This window comes from Homo sapiens, chromosome 11 (genome assembly GCF_000001405.40).
Source record: "Homo sapiens chromosome 11, GRCh38.p14 Primary Assembly".
Taxonomy (NCBI): domain Eukaryota; kingdom Metazoa; phylum Chordata; class Mammalia; order Primates; family Hominidae; genus Homo; species Homo sapiens.
This window is the reverse complement of record NC_000011.10, coordinates 58,920,963-58,942,308: the sequence shown is the minus strand read 5'-3', so window position 1 is coordinate 58,942,308 and position 21,346 is coordinate 58,920,963. Positions and strand designations below refer to the sequence as shown.

The 21,346-nt window shown below is 41.5% G+C and overlaps 1 protein-coding gene and 1 long non-coding RNA gene across 17 annotated transcripts in view, besides 1 other annotated feature; one reads left to right on the top strand and one right to left on the bottom strand.

The window, feature by feature from the left end:
• The window catches only part of GLYATL1-AS1 (GLYATL1 antisense RNA 1), a 124,810-nt gene extending 116,144 nt beyond the window's left edge, over positions 1-8,666 (top strand). Inside the window, exon 6 of the long non-coding RNA NR_033853.2 lies at positions 6,611-8,666. This is a non-coding gene — a long non-coding RNA (GLYATL1 antisense RNA 1). The remainder of the gene's footprint in view (positions 1-6,610) is intronic.
• GLYATL1 (glycine-N-acyltransferase like 1) overlaps positions 1-21,346 on the bottom strand; it is a 50,926-nt gene that overhangs the window by 14,098 nt on the left and 15,482 nt on the right. For 4 of the 16 annotated variants that reach the window (NM_001220494.4, XM_011545357.3, NM_001389711.2 and 1 more), the window contains exon 1: positions 14,480-14,680. The exons of 4 other annotated variants lie outside the window; for them this stretch is intronic. The gene's annotated coding sequence lies outside the window, so the exon portion shown is untranslated. Of the gene's footprint in view, positions 1-1,907; positions 2,151-2,658; positions 2,822-14,479; positions 14,681-21,346 lie in introns of those variants that run through there. 8 more of the 16 variants (NM_001389713.2, XM_011545356.3, NM_001389712.2 and 5 more) reach the window with 2 other exon arrangements.
• Positions 14,428-14,942: an enhancer, noted in NCBI's record as "OCT4-NANOG hESC enhancer chr11:58694840-58695354 (GRCh37/hg19 assembly coordinates)". NCBI's record gives its function as "activates a minimal SCP1, AML or CMV promoter by ChIP-STARR-seq in primed H9 embryonic stem cells {active_cell/tissue: H9 hESC(primed)}" and the evidence as "EXISTENCE:reporter gene assay evidence [ECO:0000049][PMID:30033119]".

The following is a 21,346-nucleotide window of genomic DNA, read 5'->3' as shown; positions in this document are numbered from 1 at the left end:
AAGCAGAGGGTAGGTCTGCTTACTGATCAGTATAAGAAAGATAATGTCCCCCTCTGGAGCAAAGTTCAGACAGGTTTGCTTGCAGTTCATTATAAAACATCCAGGTGACCTAAATTCAGGGTTCCTTGGCTTCAACACACATCTGTTGCACTTGCAACATTAATCTGCCTTTCTGTATTTCCTCTGTAGGACTTGTGGAGCAAGGATGACTGACACAAACACAAAAATCATTCTCCCTGTTGAATGAGTCATAAAACTCTGTCTTTGACCCAGAAAGCTTGTGTTATCTGTCAGCATTCATGAAACATTGCCCCAAGTAGGGTAAACTTTTATATGCTTCACAGTTCTTAGCAGTCTTTTCTGGATGGAGAATGCCTTTAGTCTTCCGTCAATAACAAATGAGGATGCTCCTTTTAAAACAAAAGCCAGATTTTGTCATGTCTTTGTGCAACTCCTGCAGCAACTCCCAATCTCATTTAGAGAAAGAGGTACAAATTGTTTATAACAGTTCTCTAAGTTAGACTCCAGTCACCTCCCTGACATCTGTCCAGTCAGGTCCTAGACCTCACTCTCTTTGGCCTCTCTGCTTCAGGCACTTGGCTGTTCTTTTTCTTCTGCCTGCATTCTGTTTTCTTATTAGACCTATAAAAACTCTATTACCTTCTTTAAGTCTTCACCTAAAAGCCACCTGCTCAATAAGGCCTCCTTTGGCCATCCTATTAAAAATTACTACTCCTCCCCTTTGGGTATATACCCAGTAATGGGATGGCTATAAATCATGCTGCTATAAAGACACATGCACACGTATGTTTATTGCGGCACTATTCACAATAGCAAAGACTTGGAACCAACCCAAATGTCCAGAAATGATAGACTGGATTAAGAAAATGTGGCACATATATACACCATGGAATACTATGCAGCCATAAAAAATGACGAGTTCATGTCCTTTGTAGGGACATGGATGAAACTAGAAATCATCATTCTCAGTAAACTATCACAAGGACAAAAAACCAAACACCGCATGTTCTCACTCATAGATGGGAATTGAACAATGAGAACACGTGGACACAGGAAGGGGAACATCACACTCTGGGGACTGTTGTGGGGTGGGGGGAGGGGGGAGGGATAGCATTAGGAGATATACCTAATGCTAAATGACGAGTTAATGGGTGCAGCACACCAGCATGGCACATGTATACATATGTAACTAACCTGCACATTGTGCACATGTACCCTAAAACTTAAAGTGTAATAATAATAAAAAAAATTACTACTCCTCCCCTAGTCTCCCTGCAATGCTTCTGTGCCCCATTGTCATTCTCTGCCTCTATTTGTCTTTTTGACAGGGTCTCGCTCTTTCACCTAGGTTGGAGTGCAGTGGCTGAATCAAGACTCACTGAAGCCTTGATCATTCAGGCTCAAGCAATCCTCCAATCTCAGTCTCCTGAGTAGCTGGAACTACAAGCATGAATCACTGTGCTTGGCTAATTGTTTAATTTTTATTTTATAGAGATGGGGGAGGGGGTCTCTGTTTCCCAGGCTTATCTCCAACTCCTGGTGACAACTTTATAAACTTCTGTGCCAAACTCTCATACCTCAAAATATCTAGCAGAAACAAATACAAAACCCAGACAAAAATGTATGCTGACAACTATGATGACATTTCTAGTTTTATTTTACAAAATTTTAATGCTAGCTTGCTAAAGATTTACTTAAGTAGCATGAACATGAAAAATACTTTGGACTTGTTTACTTAATCTATGAGCACTCTTTTATTTATAATCCAATTGGGTAGTCACAACATTTAACGTAATACATATGCCTACACATTAACACATCTAGACATACATACACCCAAAGACACATCTAGACATACATACACCCAAAGATCCAATAGCTTTTACCTTGGAACTCTAGCTATTGAAATAGAAACTCATCAGTCTGCAAACATGTTCACATGGCTGAACTTTGTTAGCCTTGATAGGTAATCCAGTGAAGGCTGTGAACCAAAATTTTCAGTAAAACAGTTTCCGTGGCAGTTTAATTTTTAAAGTCCAAAGTTCTCCAGACTCCAAAGAACACTGGGGTCAAACAGCACCACAGGAGAATATCACATACTAACTTGGCCCAACAGCAGCAGCACAAAAGCCTGGATACATGGAACTCCAACCCACTTTCCCATTCAAGGGCAAATACCAGATTCCAAACTATACTGGGGTCAAACAGTGTTACAAAAGAGTGTCAGTTTATTAAATTCTGATTTCTGATGACTATATCAGACACTTGCAAACAATCACTAAAACAATCCAACTGTTGCAGCATCAAACAAGCCCCAAAAGTCTACAAACTGAAACAGTTGGGGTGATTCCTCTCTCCATTGGTTGGGCTCAATCAACCTGCAAATCAAAATTCCTTCAGAATTTCTCAAATGGAGAGGAGCTGATCCCACTATCTAGTACCCACAAAAGACACTCACTTGCCTGGACACACACACAATGACAAACAAGCCCCCAAGAATGTCCATACTGAAACAGTCAGGGTATTTTCCTCTCTTCGTCAGTTGGGCTTATTCAACCCGCAAGTGGAAATTCCTTTAAAAATTTCCCAAACTGAGAGGAGCAGATCTTTCTGTCTGGGCCCACAAAGGACAGTCACCTATCTGGATGCCGATGTGAAATTCCAAAGGCAGTTCTTCCAAGGCAATCAGGACCATGGTTGGGGCCAGCTGTGGTGGCCCCAGAGGGTACTTATCTCTCCAGCCAAAATTGGGTAAGCAGCTGCTTAGTAGTTCTGTGAGACTCCTGGCCCATGGCAACTGAGCCAAAGTGTTCCTGGTCGGGAAACCAAAAGCTGTTACTGAAACACCAGGGGTGTGGTCTAGGTCCTGCAGCTCACCACACAGAAAGCCAATCAATATAACCAATTGCCAAGGAAGAAGGCTGAGTTGGATGCTGTAGCAGAGGAGATGCAAGCTCGGTCTCAAATCCGTCTTGCTGATCAACTAAAATTATGAGTTTTCATAGCAGTGAAGAAATGTAACAATGTGTAGAAAAACAGGAACTCAGGCGACCTAAGGAAGCAATCATAATTTATGAGGGGTCTGGTGTCCCATTGTCTGGATGGGATCATCTGGTGAGTTTCAATTCTTTGATACTTTTTGAGGGACGTAGGGGTCCTTTACTAAGGATGAAATTCATATAAAACAAATAAAAGTTTCAAGCATTAAGATCAGAAGGGTCAATTTCTATGTTTATACAAAAAAAATTCTCTATGGGACTACAGGGGAGGTTTCAATTCCACTGCCAGTGCTAGCTCCAGTCGGCCTCAAGTCTGCCTATGATTCTGGCAAACTGAATCAGGACCTTGGCCAGGAGAATAGCTTCCTCTCCCATCTCTGGGCTCCTCACCTATCTGTAGGGCTGCTGAGCTTGCCAGTTTCTTATAACACTTCAGTTCCAGAGCAGACTCCTTTGCATCAGCCTTTCAGACCAGCTCTGGAGTCTCTCTAGAACTCAGCACGTGCATATGGGGTGCAGAGGGATACGGCTGGAACTAGACCCCTGTGCTTTCCTCTCAGAAACACATGCTATCTGACAGAGTGGTTACTCTCTAGGACTCCAGCAGGGGATTCTCCAAGTCCACTTCTCTGATGTATCTACTCTGTGGATCAAAACTCAAAGGTTTAGCCTTATGTGTCACAACCTCAGGGCTCTCCGGGCCTAGCTTAGTTCTGATATCAGTCCCATTGTACTCAGTATTAGTCATAAGTGACTTCATGAAACACTCGTGGCAGCTTGGATTCTGACATGAACATGGGATCTCTGAATGGAAGCAATGAATTCTGGTTTCACAGGTGCTGAGGTTATGCTCATCTGCTTTGGGCTTTTCAGGCTGTGTGAGAGATCTCTGATTCTAGGTCTCTCCAGCTGGCTACCCCTGAATGTTCTTCCATCTTTGGGACTTTGCAGGTCCATCATGGGGTCATGGTGGAAGAGACAACTAGGATACCATTTAGGCATGGCCCCACTTTCAAAAAAGTTCCCAAATTTGAGATTCTAGTGTTATCACCCAATGGTACAGAAACACAGACAGAATGGAGAACACATGCACCATAAATTACACACTGCCAAGAGTCCACTCTGAATTAATGCTTTATAATTCCTGCACTGATCTTGTAAGTAGAACAATAATATTGCATGGCATTTTTGAGGTTGTAAGCATACATTTATACACATTTAAAGCTATTATATTATCAATGTTTAGCCTACCTTTACGTGTTGGTGTACTTCATACTACAAAGAGTGGCAATGATTTGGCCACCTTTGAACCCCTGTGAGGCCCTGAAACTCTTGCTCATGGCAGGGAATGGGAATAGTATGGCTGAGTGTCTGTGGGAGGTTGATGGAGCCCCACCCTCTGTGTACTCTCACAATGTGTCAAGGGTCTCTGGGATGCTTCTTTCATATCAATGTCCTTCTTTAACCCTTAGCAATGTGAAACTGGGATGCAGCAGCCATCGTTGGAAGACATCTGATAGCTGTTGGCACCTATTCATAAAATCTGAAAACTTCCTAGGGAATCTGAGGAGAGTTGCCTTTGCAAGATCATTTGGAAAACTTTGGAGACTTTGCCTCCTAGGGATAATAAAATTAATAAGATTATGGATATTAATCATGTTTGTTTCAGGCACGGACCGAACAGTCAAAGAATCACTCTATCTCAATCTAAGTCATAATAAATTCAAAGTTACTTTGAGGCAGTGACTAGATGCTTGTACATCTCTTCTGTGTACTAGTACTTTTCTGATTTCTGTTCACCAGGGACCTCACCATGAGACTCTCATGCTCTCAAATCTTGGGGAATTTTTTTCTCTCCAGAAGTCTTTCTAGGGAAGAAGGTTTCTTTACTGGCTTCTGAGATGACAGGAGGACACTGGGACCTGTGGTTCCCCAGCAATGCTTGCTCTATCTCAGAATTCCTAATGAAGTTCCTCCTGAAGGTCCAAAGGAGCATCCTAACTCTTAATTCAGGAGCTTTGGTGATTGAGCAGATTCTTCATATCTGGACACTCAGGGAGGGGTTGTTAATGCAGTCAGAGGACCTTGCACTGCTGGTGGCTTTAGATGTGGCTGCACCTCTCTGTAGCAAAAGAAAGCTGTTTTAACTGACTGGTGGCTGGTGGCAAGACACAGAAGAGCCAAGTAAACACAGGTTCTTTATGGTAGAAAAGACTGACAGCACCAACTTAAATAAATATCAGAAAAGGATGAGGGTTTCTGGAGTTTGATATAAACAACAATCTGCCTCTGTAGAAAAACTTGACATGAAAGTGGATTCTTGAAGCTTTTAGAGAGGAAGAAGGGGGATGTTTAGGGACTTCATGGAGAGAACAAGTCATGCTAAACTGTTCTGGGTTGGTGATGAGGTTTCAGTGCCTCCGGAGAAATCAGCAAGTGGTATTTGGTTTTAGCTAGATCAGGGAACTGAGAAGGTGTCGGATCCACAGGACATGCTTTCTTGGCTTTGGCATCCTAGAACATTTTAAAGCTCTCTGATGTCTTCTAGTCCTCTAAGAGTCTAAGGAAGAGAAAAACAAAACTTTGGCTATACTACAAATCAATAGGGGACTCTTTGTTGCTCCTTAATATTTTCTTTCTGATTCTTTCGTCTCCTGTTCCCCATTTTTCTACCCCAAATTCAGCTTTCATTATTTGCTTAGTCCCTGCTAATGCATTCTCTAAAGCCATGTCCCAAAACTGTGGTTAAGAAAGACACCTGCCTTCTTCCTTCATCCTTTGTGACCAAAAAGCTGATCTGAGCACCTGCCTAACTTCCTGAAAGGGAGGAAAATCAGATAGGAGGTTTAGTAGAGATTGTCTAGTTTCAAGAAACTAAGTCCTGGGAAGTGGACACATGATTGCATGTGCAAAACCAAGACCAGAACCCAGATGCTCAGAATCCCAAGCCATTGTTCTTTGTATTGTAAGATGCTGGTTTCCACTTTGTGATGAATTTTGCACATTGTGACTCCAGATATCTCATCATGAATCTCTTCCTCTTGAGACTTTAGTTGAATTAGTTTACACAAATATTTGATCTGGAAACTTTCTCTCACTCTAGCCTGGTACTGGCTTGAATATGTTGAACAATAAGTCCTATTATGTTATGAAAAAATTTGATTGATTCATCCTCAAATCCTGCATTTTTGTCTTTTCTAGCCTAACATATTATTTCTCTTATTATACTTATCATCAGAAAATCTGGAAGTTCAGTAACCACCAGAAACCTGAAATAGAAGTCATACTTCATGGAGAAAGAGGCCAAAAGTATTTTTCCTCTATGGTGTTTATTTATTTTTTTGTAGAACTACTTTATGGAGGTATAATTGACATACAAAAAGCTGTATGTGTTTAATATATAAACCTTGATGAATATAGAGGTGAATACATACATACTCATGAAACTATCACAACAACAAAAGCCATAAACATATTCATCACCTCCTAAAGTTTTGACAGCTCTATTTATTATTATTATTGTGTGTATATATGTGTGTGTTTGATAAGATCATTTAACATAAGATCTGCAATCTTTCTTTCCAAATTAGCAGGAGACCTGTCTCTGATGCTGCTGAGCCACTTTGACAATCGTTATATAGAAATCTGATTGGATGCCGTGAAACTGGACATCAGCAAAATGTCAGAATGGGACTTTCTAGCATTTATCCTCACACAGAAACATCAATTTAAACAACTATCTATGCATGAAAATACCTTCAGAAGAGCTAAGAAAACCAGGTGAAAGGTTACAGAAATGTTGTGTAGCAGAGAAATAAGAAAAGATTAATTGAAGAGCATAGGAAGAACAATTTTTCATTTCCTGTGTCACCCCTCCCACAACACCAGGCAGCAGGGCACAGAGAGAGGCAATCTCTGTGTCGAAGAAGAAAAGTGAAGTGAGCACTGAACTTTGCCTTGGACTCCAACGCAGAGCCTGCTTCAGTAAAATCCAGTAATGGGTATGCGACTATTGCCCGAAACTCCAGGCTAGTACCTGCACACTAAGCCAGACCAGATCACACAGCCCAGGCTCCAGGCTTGCCTGGTGGACTTGGTTTCTGGGTATATCCTCATGCCAGGTCTACCCCAGTGCCTTGGATGTCAGACAGTCTTTGGGACCAGGCCAGCCCCAGTGACTCCAGGCTCCAGACTGCTCCCAGAACAAGGCCGGCCTCGACAACTCCAGGTTTCAAGCCAGCCCCAGGACCAGGCTAGCTCCTGCAACTCTAGTCACCATGCCAGTGTCCATATATCCAACCCCTAATCTGGCCCCTGTGGATACAGGCTCGAGGACTGCCTAGCACAAGGCTAGCCCCTGTGGTCGCAGACTCCAAGTCCACCCTAGGTTCCAGACCGGCCCAGAACTAGATTGGCTCACACCAATCCAGGATTCAGGCCCACCCCATTTCCAGGTTGGCAGCCCTAGCCCTAGGCCTTAGTCAGGTATCTGGCAAGCATCTGCAGACCCAGGCTCCAGGCCTCCCGAGGCCTAAGCCAGTTTCTGCCACCCCACTCTCCAGGCCAGTTCCTATGGTCCCATCCTCTAGCAGACCCAGGGTCCAGGCCCATCACAGTTGACTCCAGTATTGGGCAGGTGCCTACAGACCCAGTATCTAGTACTGCCTCTGTGGACTTAGGTTCCAGTCCAGTTCCTACAGCCCTAGGACCCAAGCCACCCTTTGTGGCCCTAGTGTCCATGCCCACTTCTGAATATGTTGGTTCTAGGACAGATCTCACACAACCAGCCTCCAGGCCATTCCACAATTCTTGGCCCACCCCTGTGGCTACAAGCACCAGTCTAGCACCTATGGTCTCAAACTTTAGACTGGCCCCATCTCACCACAGCCCTAGGCCAGCATCAGACTCCAGGCTGGTTTTTGTAACCCAGCATCCAACAAACTCAGGGCCCAGCTGTGCTCTAGCAGACCCAGGGTACAGGCCGACTTCATTAGACCCTGTTGCTAGGCTGGCCATCATGGACAAAGTCTCTAGGACCATCTCTGAAGACTCAGGCTCCAGGTCTGCCCCCGTCTACCAAGATCCCAGGCCCATTTCTCCAGATTCCGGCTCCAGTCCTGCACCAGTACCAGGCCAGTCCCCATGGACTCAGATGCCAGGCTTATCCCAGCAGACTCAGACACTATGCTCATTCCAAAATCTGGCCAGCCCCTGCAGACACAGGCTCAATGCACGCCTCAGAGCCATGTTAGCCCCTGTGGACCCATGCTCAGTCCAGCACCTACTGTTAACAGGCTCTGTACCTGCCCTTATAGAAATTGGCTTTACGTTCATCCCCACATACCCAATGAAAAGATCCACCCCAGTTGATCCAGGCTTCAGGCCCAACTCTACAGACCCAGGAAACAGGCCTACCATCTGCTAACACAGGCACCAGGCCAGCCTGCCTGAGGACTTTGGCAACAAGTTCACCTGCAGACCACACTAGACACCCTACAAAGAGTTGCTGGATGACTAGGAAAGGGTTTTTCCAGATAAAGCCGGTATGCAAGAACTAGAATAAGTTTCTTGTTTTTCAAATGTGCAGACACTAATGCACTGCCTAAAAATCAAGATCAAGAACAATCAGAGAAAAATGATACCACCAAAGGAAAAAAAAAATAACCAATAGCTGAACCTAAAAAAATAATAGTTTATGAACTGTCTCATAATGAATTTAAAATAATTGTCATTGAATAGCTTGGTGAGCTATAAGACAACCCAGATAGATGACTAAAAATAATCAGAAAAATAATACATATTCATAACTCAGAAGGAAATCATTGTGAAGCCTGAAGTATTGGATCTAATCTATATAAATAGAGGAATAAGCCTGGAGGGAGTAAAATCAGGAGGGACAGCTGGGCTTGGATCATTTAGTAGGTAGGTACAATGGAATGAGCTGAGATTATAGGAATAGTGATTTCCTTTTTATCTTGATGCTCTCCCGTCACCTCATGTTTTCAAATATTTATTGCTCAAATCTATCTCCGCAGCACTGACCTCTCATCTAACCTCCAGATATTAATATTTTGTTGCCTCTTTGACATCTACTCTTGGATATGTCAGAGGCATTTCACTCTTAACCCCTTCAAAACCAGAGTCATAAAATTTAATTGTGCCCCTCTTCCTGTGTTTCTGAATCTGACAATGGTGTCATTATCCATTTGACTACCCAAGCTAGTATCCTGTGAATACTTCTCAGGTTCTTCCTTTACCTCTTATACACTGTGTTTTTAAAAAACTATGAAACATATTCTACATTCAAAAGCAATTTATGACAGCCAATATTTCATATAATAAACATCCATGTATCTCTTTCCCAACTTAAAAAATAGCACACTACAAATCATTAGAGGCATACAGTGTGTCCCTCCTTCATCTTATCTCCCTTTCTCATTCTCAAGGACAACCACTAAGTCTAAATTTGTTTTAAAATTAGTAGTGTCTTACACTTATTTAGAGACATATATATGTAGTAAAGGTATAAATAGTAAACTTTTGTTTTGCTTGGTTTGATTTTATATAAACACATCCAGCTGAATTTGTTCTTCTGTGATTTGCACTACTTTTTTGAGGTTCATTGTAGTTGATGAAATTCTCTATCCACTTTTACAGTTAGAGAGAATTCACTGAAGAATCAACTGCTTATGCACATTCAGGGGTTTTCTGCTAAAAGCAGTGGCAAGTTTTTCTATGAATATCTTTGAATATGTTTCCTGGTGCACATATGCAGGGGTGTCTCTCAAGTGTAGATGTAAAAGTGGAAATGCTCAACTTCAGAAATAGATTTGAGCAATAAATATTTGAAAACATGAGGCAATAGTAGAACAAGAAGAAGAAAATGCATAATCTCCCTTATTATAATAGATATTGCCCTATTATTTTACAAAATGGTTGTACCACCTTGCACCTCAACCAGTGAGAAATGAGAGTTCTCATTATTCTATGTCTTCATCAAAGCTTGAAGCTTGGTATTATCCATATTTTAATGTTTGCCAATTCTGTGGGTGTAATAGGGCATCTTATTGAGGGTTTCAACAGTAGTTTTCTAATTACTAATGGAATTGAACCCTTTTTCCTTTTTCATGCTTCAGGCTCTAAAATGTTTATGTCTTTTTTTTTTTTTTTTTTTTTTTGAGAAGGGGTCTCTTCTGTCCCCTAGGCTGGAGTGCAGTGGTGTGATCTCGGTTCACTGCAACCTCCACATCCCGGGTTCAAGTGATTTTCCCACCTCAGCCTCCCAAGTAGCTAGGACTACAGGTGCATGCCACCACGCCTGGCTAATTTTTGTACTGTTTTACTAGAGATGGGATTTCACCATATTGGACAGTCTGGTCTGGAACACCTGACCTCCTGATTTGCCTGCCTCTGCCTTCCAAAGTGTTTTGCAAATTTTTCTACTGGATTATTTTTCTTTTTAGTATTAATTCTAGAAGTAATTTAATATTGTAGACATAAATTGCTTATTCATCATACGTGTTAAACATGTATTCTGAGTTTCTTCTTGATTTTTTATTCTCAGGTGTCATAAAGAACAGGAGTTGTTCATTTTATTGTTGTCAAGTTTATTAATCTTTTTATGTCATTACAACATCTTTCAAAGGATGTATTCTGTTGTTTTCTAAAAATTGCAAATGTTTGCTTTTACCATTCAAGTATGTAATCTGGAATAATTTTTTGTATATAGCTTGAAGTAGGTATCACTTTCTATTTTTTGCATATAGATAAGAAATTACTCCAGTGATGCTGACTGAATTGTTCATTTTTTCTCCACTGATCTGTACTGCCAGGTTTGCAACATAAGATTGTTATGGGTTGAACTGTGTCCCCTCATAATTCACATGTTATAGTCCTAACCCCTAGTACCTCAAAATGTGACCTTATCGGGATATACATTTCTTCTTGATAAACTTAGTTAAAATGTGATCACACTGCAGTAGGATGGGCCCCTAATCCAATACCCCTGATATCCTTAGAAAAGGGGAAAATTTAGACATAGAGACAGACACAGAGGGAAGATGACGCAAAGACCCATAGGAAAAACATGGCCAACTACAAATCAAGGAGAGAGTCCTGGAACAGATCTTTCCCTCACAGCACCAACAGGTTCCAACTCTGCTGACATCTTGACCTTGGACTTAGAACCTCCAGAACGATGAGATAATGCATTTCAGTTGTGTAGGCCATATAGTCTGTGGTACATTATTACCCCTAATAGTCTGTCTAGTCTGAACTTTTCTAACAAAATACATAATGTAGAGCCCTCATGATCTAATCATTCAACAAAGACCCATCTCTTAATGCCATCACCATGGAGATTAGGATTTAAACATATGAATTGTGGGGGATGCAAAGATTCACACCATAGCACAAACTAATACAAAGATATTTTCTTATAATTCGTGAGTCTGTCTCTACTCTCTCTGTTCTGTTCCAATGGTATATTTTTCTGTATATTCACCAACTACTGTCTTAATTTTGAGATTTCCTACTCATTAGTATACCTTGTCATTGACTTATGTCACATTTTTGTGTCTTCAACAAAATAATTTTCTCCATAAAAGGTTAACAAATCATTTTTACATTTATTTCTAGGTAAATAATATTTTTCTAGGCATTATAAAACAATTTGGGGGGTATTACATTTTCTGATATTGTTGACTAAGCTAAATCCAATGTTTTGTAAATATCATTCTTAAACCTAGCCCGTTTACTACTTTAAACTCATTCTAATATTTTATCTATAAATCTTTTTAGTTTCAAAAATAGGTAATGATATTATCTGTGGATATTTCATGAATATGCTTTGTTCCCTTCTTTTCAATCCTCAAATATTATCTTTTACTAATTTTTCTTATCACACTGCATTGGCTAAAATAAATTTTATTTACCAGCTAAATAAAGGCAGTAATTGTGAGCACTCCTGTATTCTTCCTCATTGTAAAGGAAATACTTATAACGATTCATTATTTCACATTATGTTCCTTGTGAGATTTTGAAGTTGCCCTTAATCTGCCTAAGAAACCTTCTGGTATGTTTATACTTATATATTTGATAGTAATAGGGGCAGCCAAGATAAAGTAAGCCCTTTATAGCACATTATTTCCACTAATTAAAACTAAAGACTTTGGAAAAAAATTTTTTTTTAAAGCAGCATCCTGAGCTTCTACTCTGGCCACCATGGAATAACAGAGAACTAATTTGCACTCCTGCCTGAAAAACCTGGAGAAATAAACAAAATATTCAAAATGGCTTCCAAGACATTGAGCATTAGTCAAAGAAGGACAGTGATCCTTGAGAAACACAAAGAAATGATCCAGACTCTAAGACTGCCCCAGCTTACTGCCTGAAGAGAGGCTCTAGGCCATGATGCAGGTGAAAGAATCCAGGCAAAGCTCATTTGCAACTGAGTTGAGGAAAAGGAAATGAGTTCAGGGAAGCCAATGAGTTTAGCTTTCGAAGGGCAGGAGAGGACTGTACAGAGAGGGTCCCCATGAGTCTTTAGATGAGTAGTGATCTGCACATGCATGTGAGGAAATTACCTAGGTCTGAGAAACCAGCTAACTAAAAAGAGTAGAAGGAACAATCCCTGGAGGTCTTACAGAGCTGGGAATATTGCTGTTCCTGTCAGACCTAGAAAAAAACATCATAATTTGGGGGGCATTGAGTACAATACCAAAAAGAAGTTTGGCTCAGCAATAGGGAAAAATTAGCTCTATAATATACGGGTGAAACATTACAAAAAAAGAAAACTGCAGGCCAATATAAAGATAAATGCAAGAACTAACAGGTAAATACCAGTTATGCAAGGTTGGTTTAACTTTTGAAAATTATATCACTGTAATAAGCCAATTAGAATAATTAAAATTTCTATATATACATAGAATCATCTCAATAGACATAGAAGAAGAGTTTGGTAAAGCTGATATCTATTTCTAATAAGAATATCAGCAACCTAGGAATAAAAGGGAACTTCTTAAATCTCATGAAGAACACTTATGAAAAACTTAGAGGTAACATCATACTTAATGGGATAGGACTGAATGCATTCCCAAGACTAGAAAAAAGTCAAGAATGTCTGCTCTGGCAGATTCTATTCACCATTGTGCTGGATTGTTGGGATTCACACAGGATGGTGGCAGAAGTATTAAAGGAAAATATTAGGGAAAGTTATAGGGAATAGTCACAAACCTTTTTGAAAGGTTGAAAGGTTATAAAGCTTGTAATAATTGAACAGGCTGAAGGCAGCCATTTCTTACCTTAGAGCATTAGGTCATAGGGTAAATACTAGGGACAACACAGGCTTCCCCAGTTAGATCTGTTTACCCTACCTCCATTAAGTAACCTTTGAGACAGATGGCCCTCTTGGGGGTAGTTTGACCAAGGATATTGCCCCCTAATGGTATTTACTTTAAACCAGGGTACCTGAGTTTTAATCATTCCTAGAACTACTCTCTTAACCATGTTAATTATCCACAAGTGTGTTTACTCAAATCTTCTGTTGTTAATTCTACACTAAATAAACTCCTAGAGTCTGAGCTACTCAGGGCAAGCTGCAGTGACAAACCTCTTTTGGTTTACAGGCGGTCAGACACTCAGCATGACTGGCAAAACAGATTATCTGTGTGTCAGTGTACATTTTATTCATCCGTCGTTTGGGTCAGGGTCTGCGGGCAGACACAGGTAGCTACTGCCCTGTTGTGAGAAGCAATACCTCAATTGGTGCCCCATGTGAGGAGAGCTGTGTGAGGACAGTCAGGGGTCTGCAGAAACAGACCTTCCGCAGTTGGAGCCCCTTGTAAGGCAAGCTATGAAGGAAGTGTAAGGACCGCTTTCATGAGGAAAGCTGCAAAGGAAGCCTGAGGAATGCGACGGGCCCCCAGGAAACAAAGGTGAAGAAAAACCGCGTGGTCAAGTCAGTGAGTAACTAGTAAGTCATTGGTGCCCACTCAAGGTTACCAAGTTCTGGGGAAAGTTGGTTCAAGCTGAGATTTCATCATGGGACAACAGTTATTAGCACAGCAGAAACATTATATAAAAGTATTACAACAGCTGCTTAAGGCTAGTGGAGCTTCAGTTTCACAGGCTCAATTAAGGCACCTAATCATGCATGCTAGACAAATTGCTGTAATGCAAACTGTTAAATCCCAAAGTCCATGGTTCCCAGAAGAAGGAACGCTAGACATAGAGCTCCGGGAAACAAGTGGGGAGAGATCTTAAAAACATCAGTTGCAAAGGCAGCAAGTCCCAGTAACAGCTTTAACGTTATGGGCTTTAACTAGAGCAGCCCTGGCTCAGTCACACACGGAAAAGCCTAAAAAGGGGCAGGAAGAGGAAACATTACCTGCCTTATCACCTCGTCTTCCCTGGGCCCTAATCACCAGGCGGAATTAACAGAGAGGAAAAGGAGGTCTTACCTGAGCTTCCTCCAATAGATAAGAAAAAAGGCAGAGGATACACTACAGTTATCAGTTCCCGTCTTAAGCAGGCTGAATTAAAAGAAGATCTCTTAGCCTGCCCAGTAACGCAAAATTGGCAAAGCGATCAGATACCTAAAGGGTTAAAAAAGGGCATTAGAAGCTAGAGCTGCATTGCCAAGCAAGCAGTGAGAAAAAACTAAAACTCCGCCCACATGGCAGCAGAGGCAACGAAGAGCTAAGCCACCATTGGAGCTAGCCTGCAGGGGAGGGGCGAGAGGCACATACAACAAAGTCAGCCCAAGGGGAGGCTGGGGTCCACCCTGGCCAGGAACAGCCAATGGGTGCCTGCGGGAGGGAGCCAGCACAGGCAAAAAGCAGCGCTTTTACAAGTGCAAAGCAGCCAAAGCCCCAGGACGCACCTGCCTGACTCTCTAGCTTTGCAGACAGCCCACAGCAAAATTTCCTGTGCTCCTTGTTTACAAGTGACATCCCAAATTATAATTCTCTGCTAAAATTTAAGTAAAATGTAAGAATTTGAAAAACCTCTTTTCAGATAATAGCCACTGCTGTTATCTCTCTCCTACCCCCGAGGTAGCTCTACAAATCCAGTTTAAGTAAAACAGTAGCCTCTGAAGGGAGAGAGATTAAGGAGGGCCCATGAATTAAAGAATAATTAAAAGTTAGGCATGTAAAACCACACATTACCCTTAGAGGAGAACTTTAAACCTAATTAAATGATATTTGTTCAATTAAAAGGTGAAAATATTGTGCCCTTCTCAAAAGGTGAAGAAGAGTTATATGTAAGTGTAGCCAAAACATGCATGAATGACTGTCTTAACCCACTGATTACAGATAGTCTTTGATTCATACTTGCTAAAAGAGTCCCAAATTAAGTTCCCCAGTTAGTGAGTCACTGTTTTCAAGACTGTTTTCCAGATTAAAGTCCATAAACTTGGTCAGCCTGAGAACTCCATTGCAACATTTAAGCTATTCTGCCTGTGGCTTTAAGCACATGGTTAAAATATATAATTTAAGTCTCTGCTTCTAAAGATGCTTTCAGATTTTCTTTTTAAACTTCACGTTATTTATTTCAGCTTGCCATCTTAATGATTAATGCAGTCAATTGCTAAGTTATGACTCGATATCATCAAAATTCCTTTAAGTAAAATGCAATTCAAAGCCGTATTGCAATCCCCCATACCAAATGCTTTAACACTGTTTACTGATGGGTCTGGTAAACATGGAAGAGCAGTAGTCTAATAGAGACCACATAATCCAATCACTGGATCTAGGTTTACTGGCACTCAAAGAGCTCAGGTTACTCTGTGTATTTGTTAAAGAACTTTTACAGCCTCAATTAAGTTTACTCTGGTGCACACTCTGTGTACTCTTTTTCTGACTTCGGCAATTGCTGGACCAACGTACACATCCTGTTTTTATTACACATATTCAAGCCCACAGCTCACTGCCTGGCCCATTGGCTTATGTCAATGAACGAGCAGACCTTCAGGTGATGACATCACTGCTAGGCCTAGCCACCCAATCGCATCAATTTTTCCACCAAAATTGGAGAAACTTATCTAAACAATTTCAACTTACTCAGAGGCTGGCTACAACAATTATCCTACAATGTCCAGATTGCCAGCTCACAGGCACGTCCCCTCCTTCAACAAGTGTTAACCCTAGAGGATTGGAACCTAAGCAGTTATGGCAAACATATTACACACATGCCTAAATTTGGAAAACTAAGATATGTGTGTGTATCCATTGATAATAACACTCATTTAATTAATGCACATGCTCTGCCTGTAGAGTCTACTCAAGATGTCATTAAACATCTTTTAACTTTTGCATTTATAGGATAGCCCACAAAGATTAAAGCTGATAATGGACCAGCTTATGCCAGCTGACAATTTCAACAATTTTATCACACGTGGAATATTCAACATTCCACAGGCATCCCATATAACTCCAAAGGTCAAGCAATAGTAAAAAATCAGAAAAAGGGGAATATAGGTAAAGACCCTGCAACACTACTGGCACAAACCTTGTTTACCCATAATTTTCTAAATTCAGATGACAAATTTCAATCAGCTGTAGAAAAACACTTTGCTAAAACCTCTCAAGGCATAAAACCAGCAGTTTTATGGAAAAATGTGAACAGTAATAAATGGTGTGGTCCAAATAAATTATTAACATGAGAAAGAATGTGTGCATATGTCCACCCCTAGAAAGAGAAATAAAGGGAAAGAATGATTTAAAAAGAAACTAGAAGAAACAGATCAGAAAGAGACACAAAAAGAAAGACTAAGGAAAGAAAGTGGGAAGAAGGAAAAGGAAATATTTAAAAAGTTATTAATATAAGAATGCACCCTTAGTAAGGAAGATTACAAAACAGAGTTAAAAAGTTAAGGCATGTCAAAAATTGTCTGTGAAAGTCGTGAAGAATGTTATAAAAGGGATTCATGCAGGAAATGTATAATTTTTGTTTTGAAAGTCTAAGCAAGTTGTAAAATGTTAATTGTAAAAAATTCTATATGTAAACATATTGGCTAAATTTAAAAAAGTATCCAGTTTTTTTCTGTAAACTAGACATTAAAATGAAGCACAAGTTTTTCTTGAAGTACTATCCTGCTCTTTAAAGATTATAAAGATCTCTTAGCACAGGTACCACCCCTAGAATTTCCAGTACACCAGCACCAGCCTGGAGACTGTATCCTCATCCAAGGATGGAAAGAAAAAAAACTCAAGCCAGCCTAGGAAAAACCCTAAGGACCCACAGCCTCAACAATGTGGCTTCCAGGAACAGCACAGGCCTCACACATTATGCTAAGGAAGCAGAAGGCTAAGCCAAATAATTTACTCATTTTTAATTCTCTCACTTTGCCTATTACCTATACCTGCTACACTCTATTAAGCTCATCTTCTGAATCTGCCTTTTGTCAGCCCTTTTACTTAAACAAATACTCCCTTTCCAGCTTCTAATGACATAACTGCTTGGCTGGAAGGAGTTAACATACCCTCAGTGGGGTTCCTTAGCAACAGTACTCACCAAACTAAGATGCCAGGTAACACTACCGGTCACTCTTAGACTGGAAACAAATGTTGCTAATTGTACTCATAATTGTCTTGTATTATTTGCTAATTCTAGGATGCAAAGCCGGAATAAGAGCAGTGACCACCTCACCTGACAATCCTATGGCTGTACATATCTGCAATCTGAAATCAAAAAGACATGATACCGAAAACAAAAACGGGGAAATGTTGGGATTCACTCAGAATGGTGCCAGAAATATTAAAGGGAAACATTAGGGAAAGCAACAGGGAATAGTTTACAAACCTTTTTGGAAGGCCAAAATGTTACATAGCTTGTAATAATTAAACAGGCTGAAGGCAGCTGGTTCTTACCTTAGAGCATTAGGTCATAGGGTAAATACTAGGGACAATAGAGGCTTCCCCGGTTAAGTCTGATTACCCTACCTCCACTAACTAATCTTTGAGCCAGATGGCCCTCTCAGGGTGAGATTGACCAAAGATATTGCCCCCTAATGGAATTTACTTTAAACCATGGTACCTGAGTTTTAATCGTTAGTAGAACTACAATCAACCATGTTAATTATCCATAAGTGTGTTTATTCAAAGCTTCTGTTGTTAATTCTATACAAAATAAATGCCTGGAGTGCAAGCTGCTCAGGGCCAGCCACAGTGACAAACCTCTCTTGGTGTGCAGGCGGTCGGACACTCAGCAGGACTGGCAAAACAGAGTATCAGTGTCTCAGCGTACGAGTTATTCATAGGTCGTTTGGGTCAGGGTCTGTGGACAGACCCCACAGCTAATGCCATCTTGTGAGAAGCAATACCTCACTGGATGTTTTGGCCAGTGAAATTAAAAAAAGAGAAAGAAATAAAAGGGCTTCTGGATAAGAAAGAAATTAGTACAATTATCTTAATTCACAGGTGACAGGTAATCTATGTAGAAAACTCTGACAAGATATGCCAGACTTTTGTCTTAAAATATATTGTAAGAATTTAAACAAGACCTGGCTGCCTTCCCCACTTCAGGTTCTCCTGAGTCATCAAAGACAGCCTTGAGGAGCCTCCTGGGAGCCAAGGGGAGGGGCAGGCTGGCAAGGAGAGGGATGCCCCAGATCTGAAGGAGTGAGGCAGAACAGGATCTGGAGGCAGGGAACCTAAGGATGATTCACACTCACTTCCTAGAACTCAATCAAAAGGAAAATCCCACCTCTCCACAATCAAGTAACAAAAGGATCAGAGGTTACTCCCTTTGCAAATCATGCCACCAATTCCCGCTTTCCACTGCATTGCAGATGAAAAAGGGAAAGTACCTCTGTTTGGTCCCCTCCCGCAACCATTCAAACTGGTTGCGGGCCACTACTTCATTTCCGTAAGGTGTAAACAAAGTAACCAATGAGAAACCTCTAGAGGGCGTTTAAACCCCAGACTATCTGGCTCATTCAGAAAAGCAGGCAGCTCCCCTGTGACTTTACCCAAAGTCATTCAAAGCAATTGCACGTAGTTTGTTTTCCCTCTAGAGTGAGAAAGAAGGAAGGAAGTTTACAATTCTACGTGCATCTCACATTGAGATGTTCACCTGATTCTATCACTGCCTCAGAGACCTGGTAAAAATCCTGGGGATTGACAAATGGAGAAATGGATGCCCAAGTTCAGAAGGGATTCGGTCTGAAGCAAAAGTCTGAGCAAGTGTGCTGTGCCATAACTGGGAGGAAATAGGAAGAAAATTATTGAGACCCACCCCATTAGAATGCACGTTAAAAAATTTTAAGAAAGGCTATGTGAGGAATTATGGAGTCAAGGTAACCCCTCAGATGTTAAGAACTCTCTGTGAAATAGTATGACTCTCTTTTAGTGTTGGCTGGCTGGCTGAAGGCACTATAGATAGGGAAACAATTGGCCATGTATTTAAGGTGATGACCACGGTTGGAGGACAGTCAGGGCATCCAGACAAATTCTCCTATATCGATTTATGGCTAAATAGAATTCAAATTCAACCAGCATGGCTGCAAACCTGTCTGGCAGCATACTGTAAAATGCTTGTAGCTCAAGCCAAACCCAAAGTGAAAGAAAAATCAACGGCATAGGAAGGTAAAGAGACAAAGGCAAAGTCACAGGAAAGGCAAGAAAAGCCAGTTTTGCAGTCACCTCACGTGTTCCAATCTACCACCCTTTACCAAGGCTAACTTCCCCTGAGGAGTCAAGCTCAAATGGATACATGTCCCCAGTCTCACCGGAGAGGGAGGAATTGGAGCTTCAGGAAGTTAAAGGAGAAGGCCCAGAACATCAGGCAGGCCATCTCTGGTCTGGCTGCACCTGAGTTATGCAAATGCCTCTCAGGGAAAGAAGAGGACCCACCTATTATAATGAGCATGGCCACATCCAGGGAGGAGAACAAACCTTCATTTACCAGTTTTTTTGAACCACTGGTCTCCTAAACTGGTAGCATCATACTCCCTCTGACACAGAGAAGCCCTAGGCCCTTATAGATGTAATGCAGTTTATCTTCCTAACGCACCATCCAACTGGGCCAGACTGAAACAGCTCAACCTGATGCTATTTAACACTGAGGAGCGCCAGAGAGTAACCCAGGCAGCCCTCCATTGGCCAGAAGCCAATGCACCTGCAGGCACAGTTGATGCCCAGGCATATACACAGGGCCAATTTCTTGAAGAGGATCACCACTGGGATCCAAATGATGCAACCCAGTTTCAGCACCCACAGAGCTAACAAGAGACAATCCTGCAAGGGTTAAGAGATGACAGGAAAAAGGCAATCAATGTGGGGAAAATCTCAGAGCTGCTACTATGTGCAGATGAGAGGCCCATACAGTTTTATGACTCTGTGAGGCATTCCAGTTATACACTCCATTTAACCCTGAGGCTGCTGAAAATCAGCGCGTGGTGAATATGGCATTCGTAGGGCAGACCAGGGAGATATCAAGTGGAAATTGCTGAAGTTAGAAGGCTTTGCAGGCATGAATGCTACTCAGCTTATTGAAGTGGCTATCAAGGTGTACATTAACTGAGATCAGAAGGCAAAGAAGGAGGCTGAACGGAGGCTTGGGAAAAAGGCTGATTAGCCAGCGGCAGACCTCACAGGAAGAGAAGCTGGCTTTGCAAGGGGTCATGGATGCGGTCATGGAAGAGGCTGGTCTGGAAAGGGATTCGAGAGCCGGCCAAGGCTAAAGAGAAATCAATGTGCGTGATGCAAAAGGAAAAGACACTGGAAGGATGAATGTCCAGAGAATAATAACGTGGAGAATGGTTAAGGCCACGGTATGAAAAAACCACTGGCCAAGGGCTACCATACCCTGTGAGGAACCAGACACTGACCTGATCAGGATGGCAGGGGCTGAAGAATATGAGGTCTCAGACAGACCGGGCTCCTTCTCTTTGGGCCCCTAGGAACGTATGGTCATATTACTAGTTGAAGGCCAGCTGATGGACCTTATGGTAGACACCAGGACTGAACACTTGGTAGTGACCTGACCTATAAGGCCACTATCCAAGAACTGTGAAACTATTGTAGGTGCCACTGGAGTCTCAGCTGTTTGTGCGCTTCCCACTCCAACTATCTGGCATCAAATAAGACAGTTCCTAGGAGCAGCAGGGTTCTGCTGCATCTGGATCCCAAATTTCTTGCTCATGCCTAAGCCATTATATGAAGCCACAAAGTGGGGAGAAATGGAGCCCCTCCTCTGGGAGGCCAATTAGGAGAAGGCCTTAAAAACAATCAAAGAAGCGTTAATTCAGACCCCAAACTTGGGACTGCCAGACCTAACTAAGCCTTTCTTTTTGTATGTCCATGAGTGAAAAGAAATGGCCATAG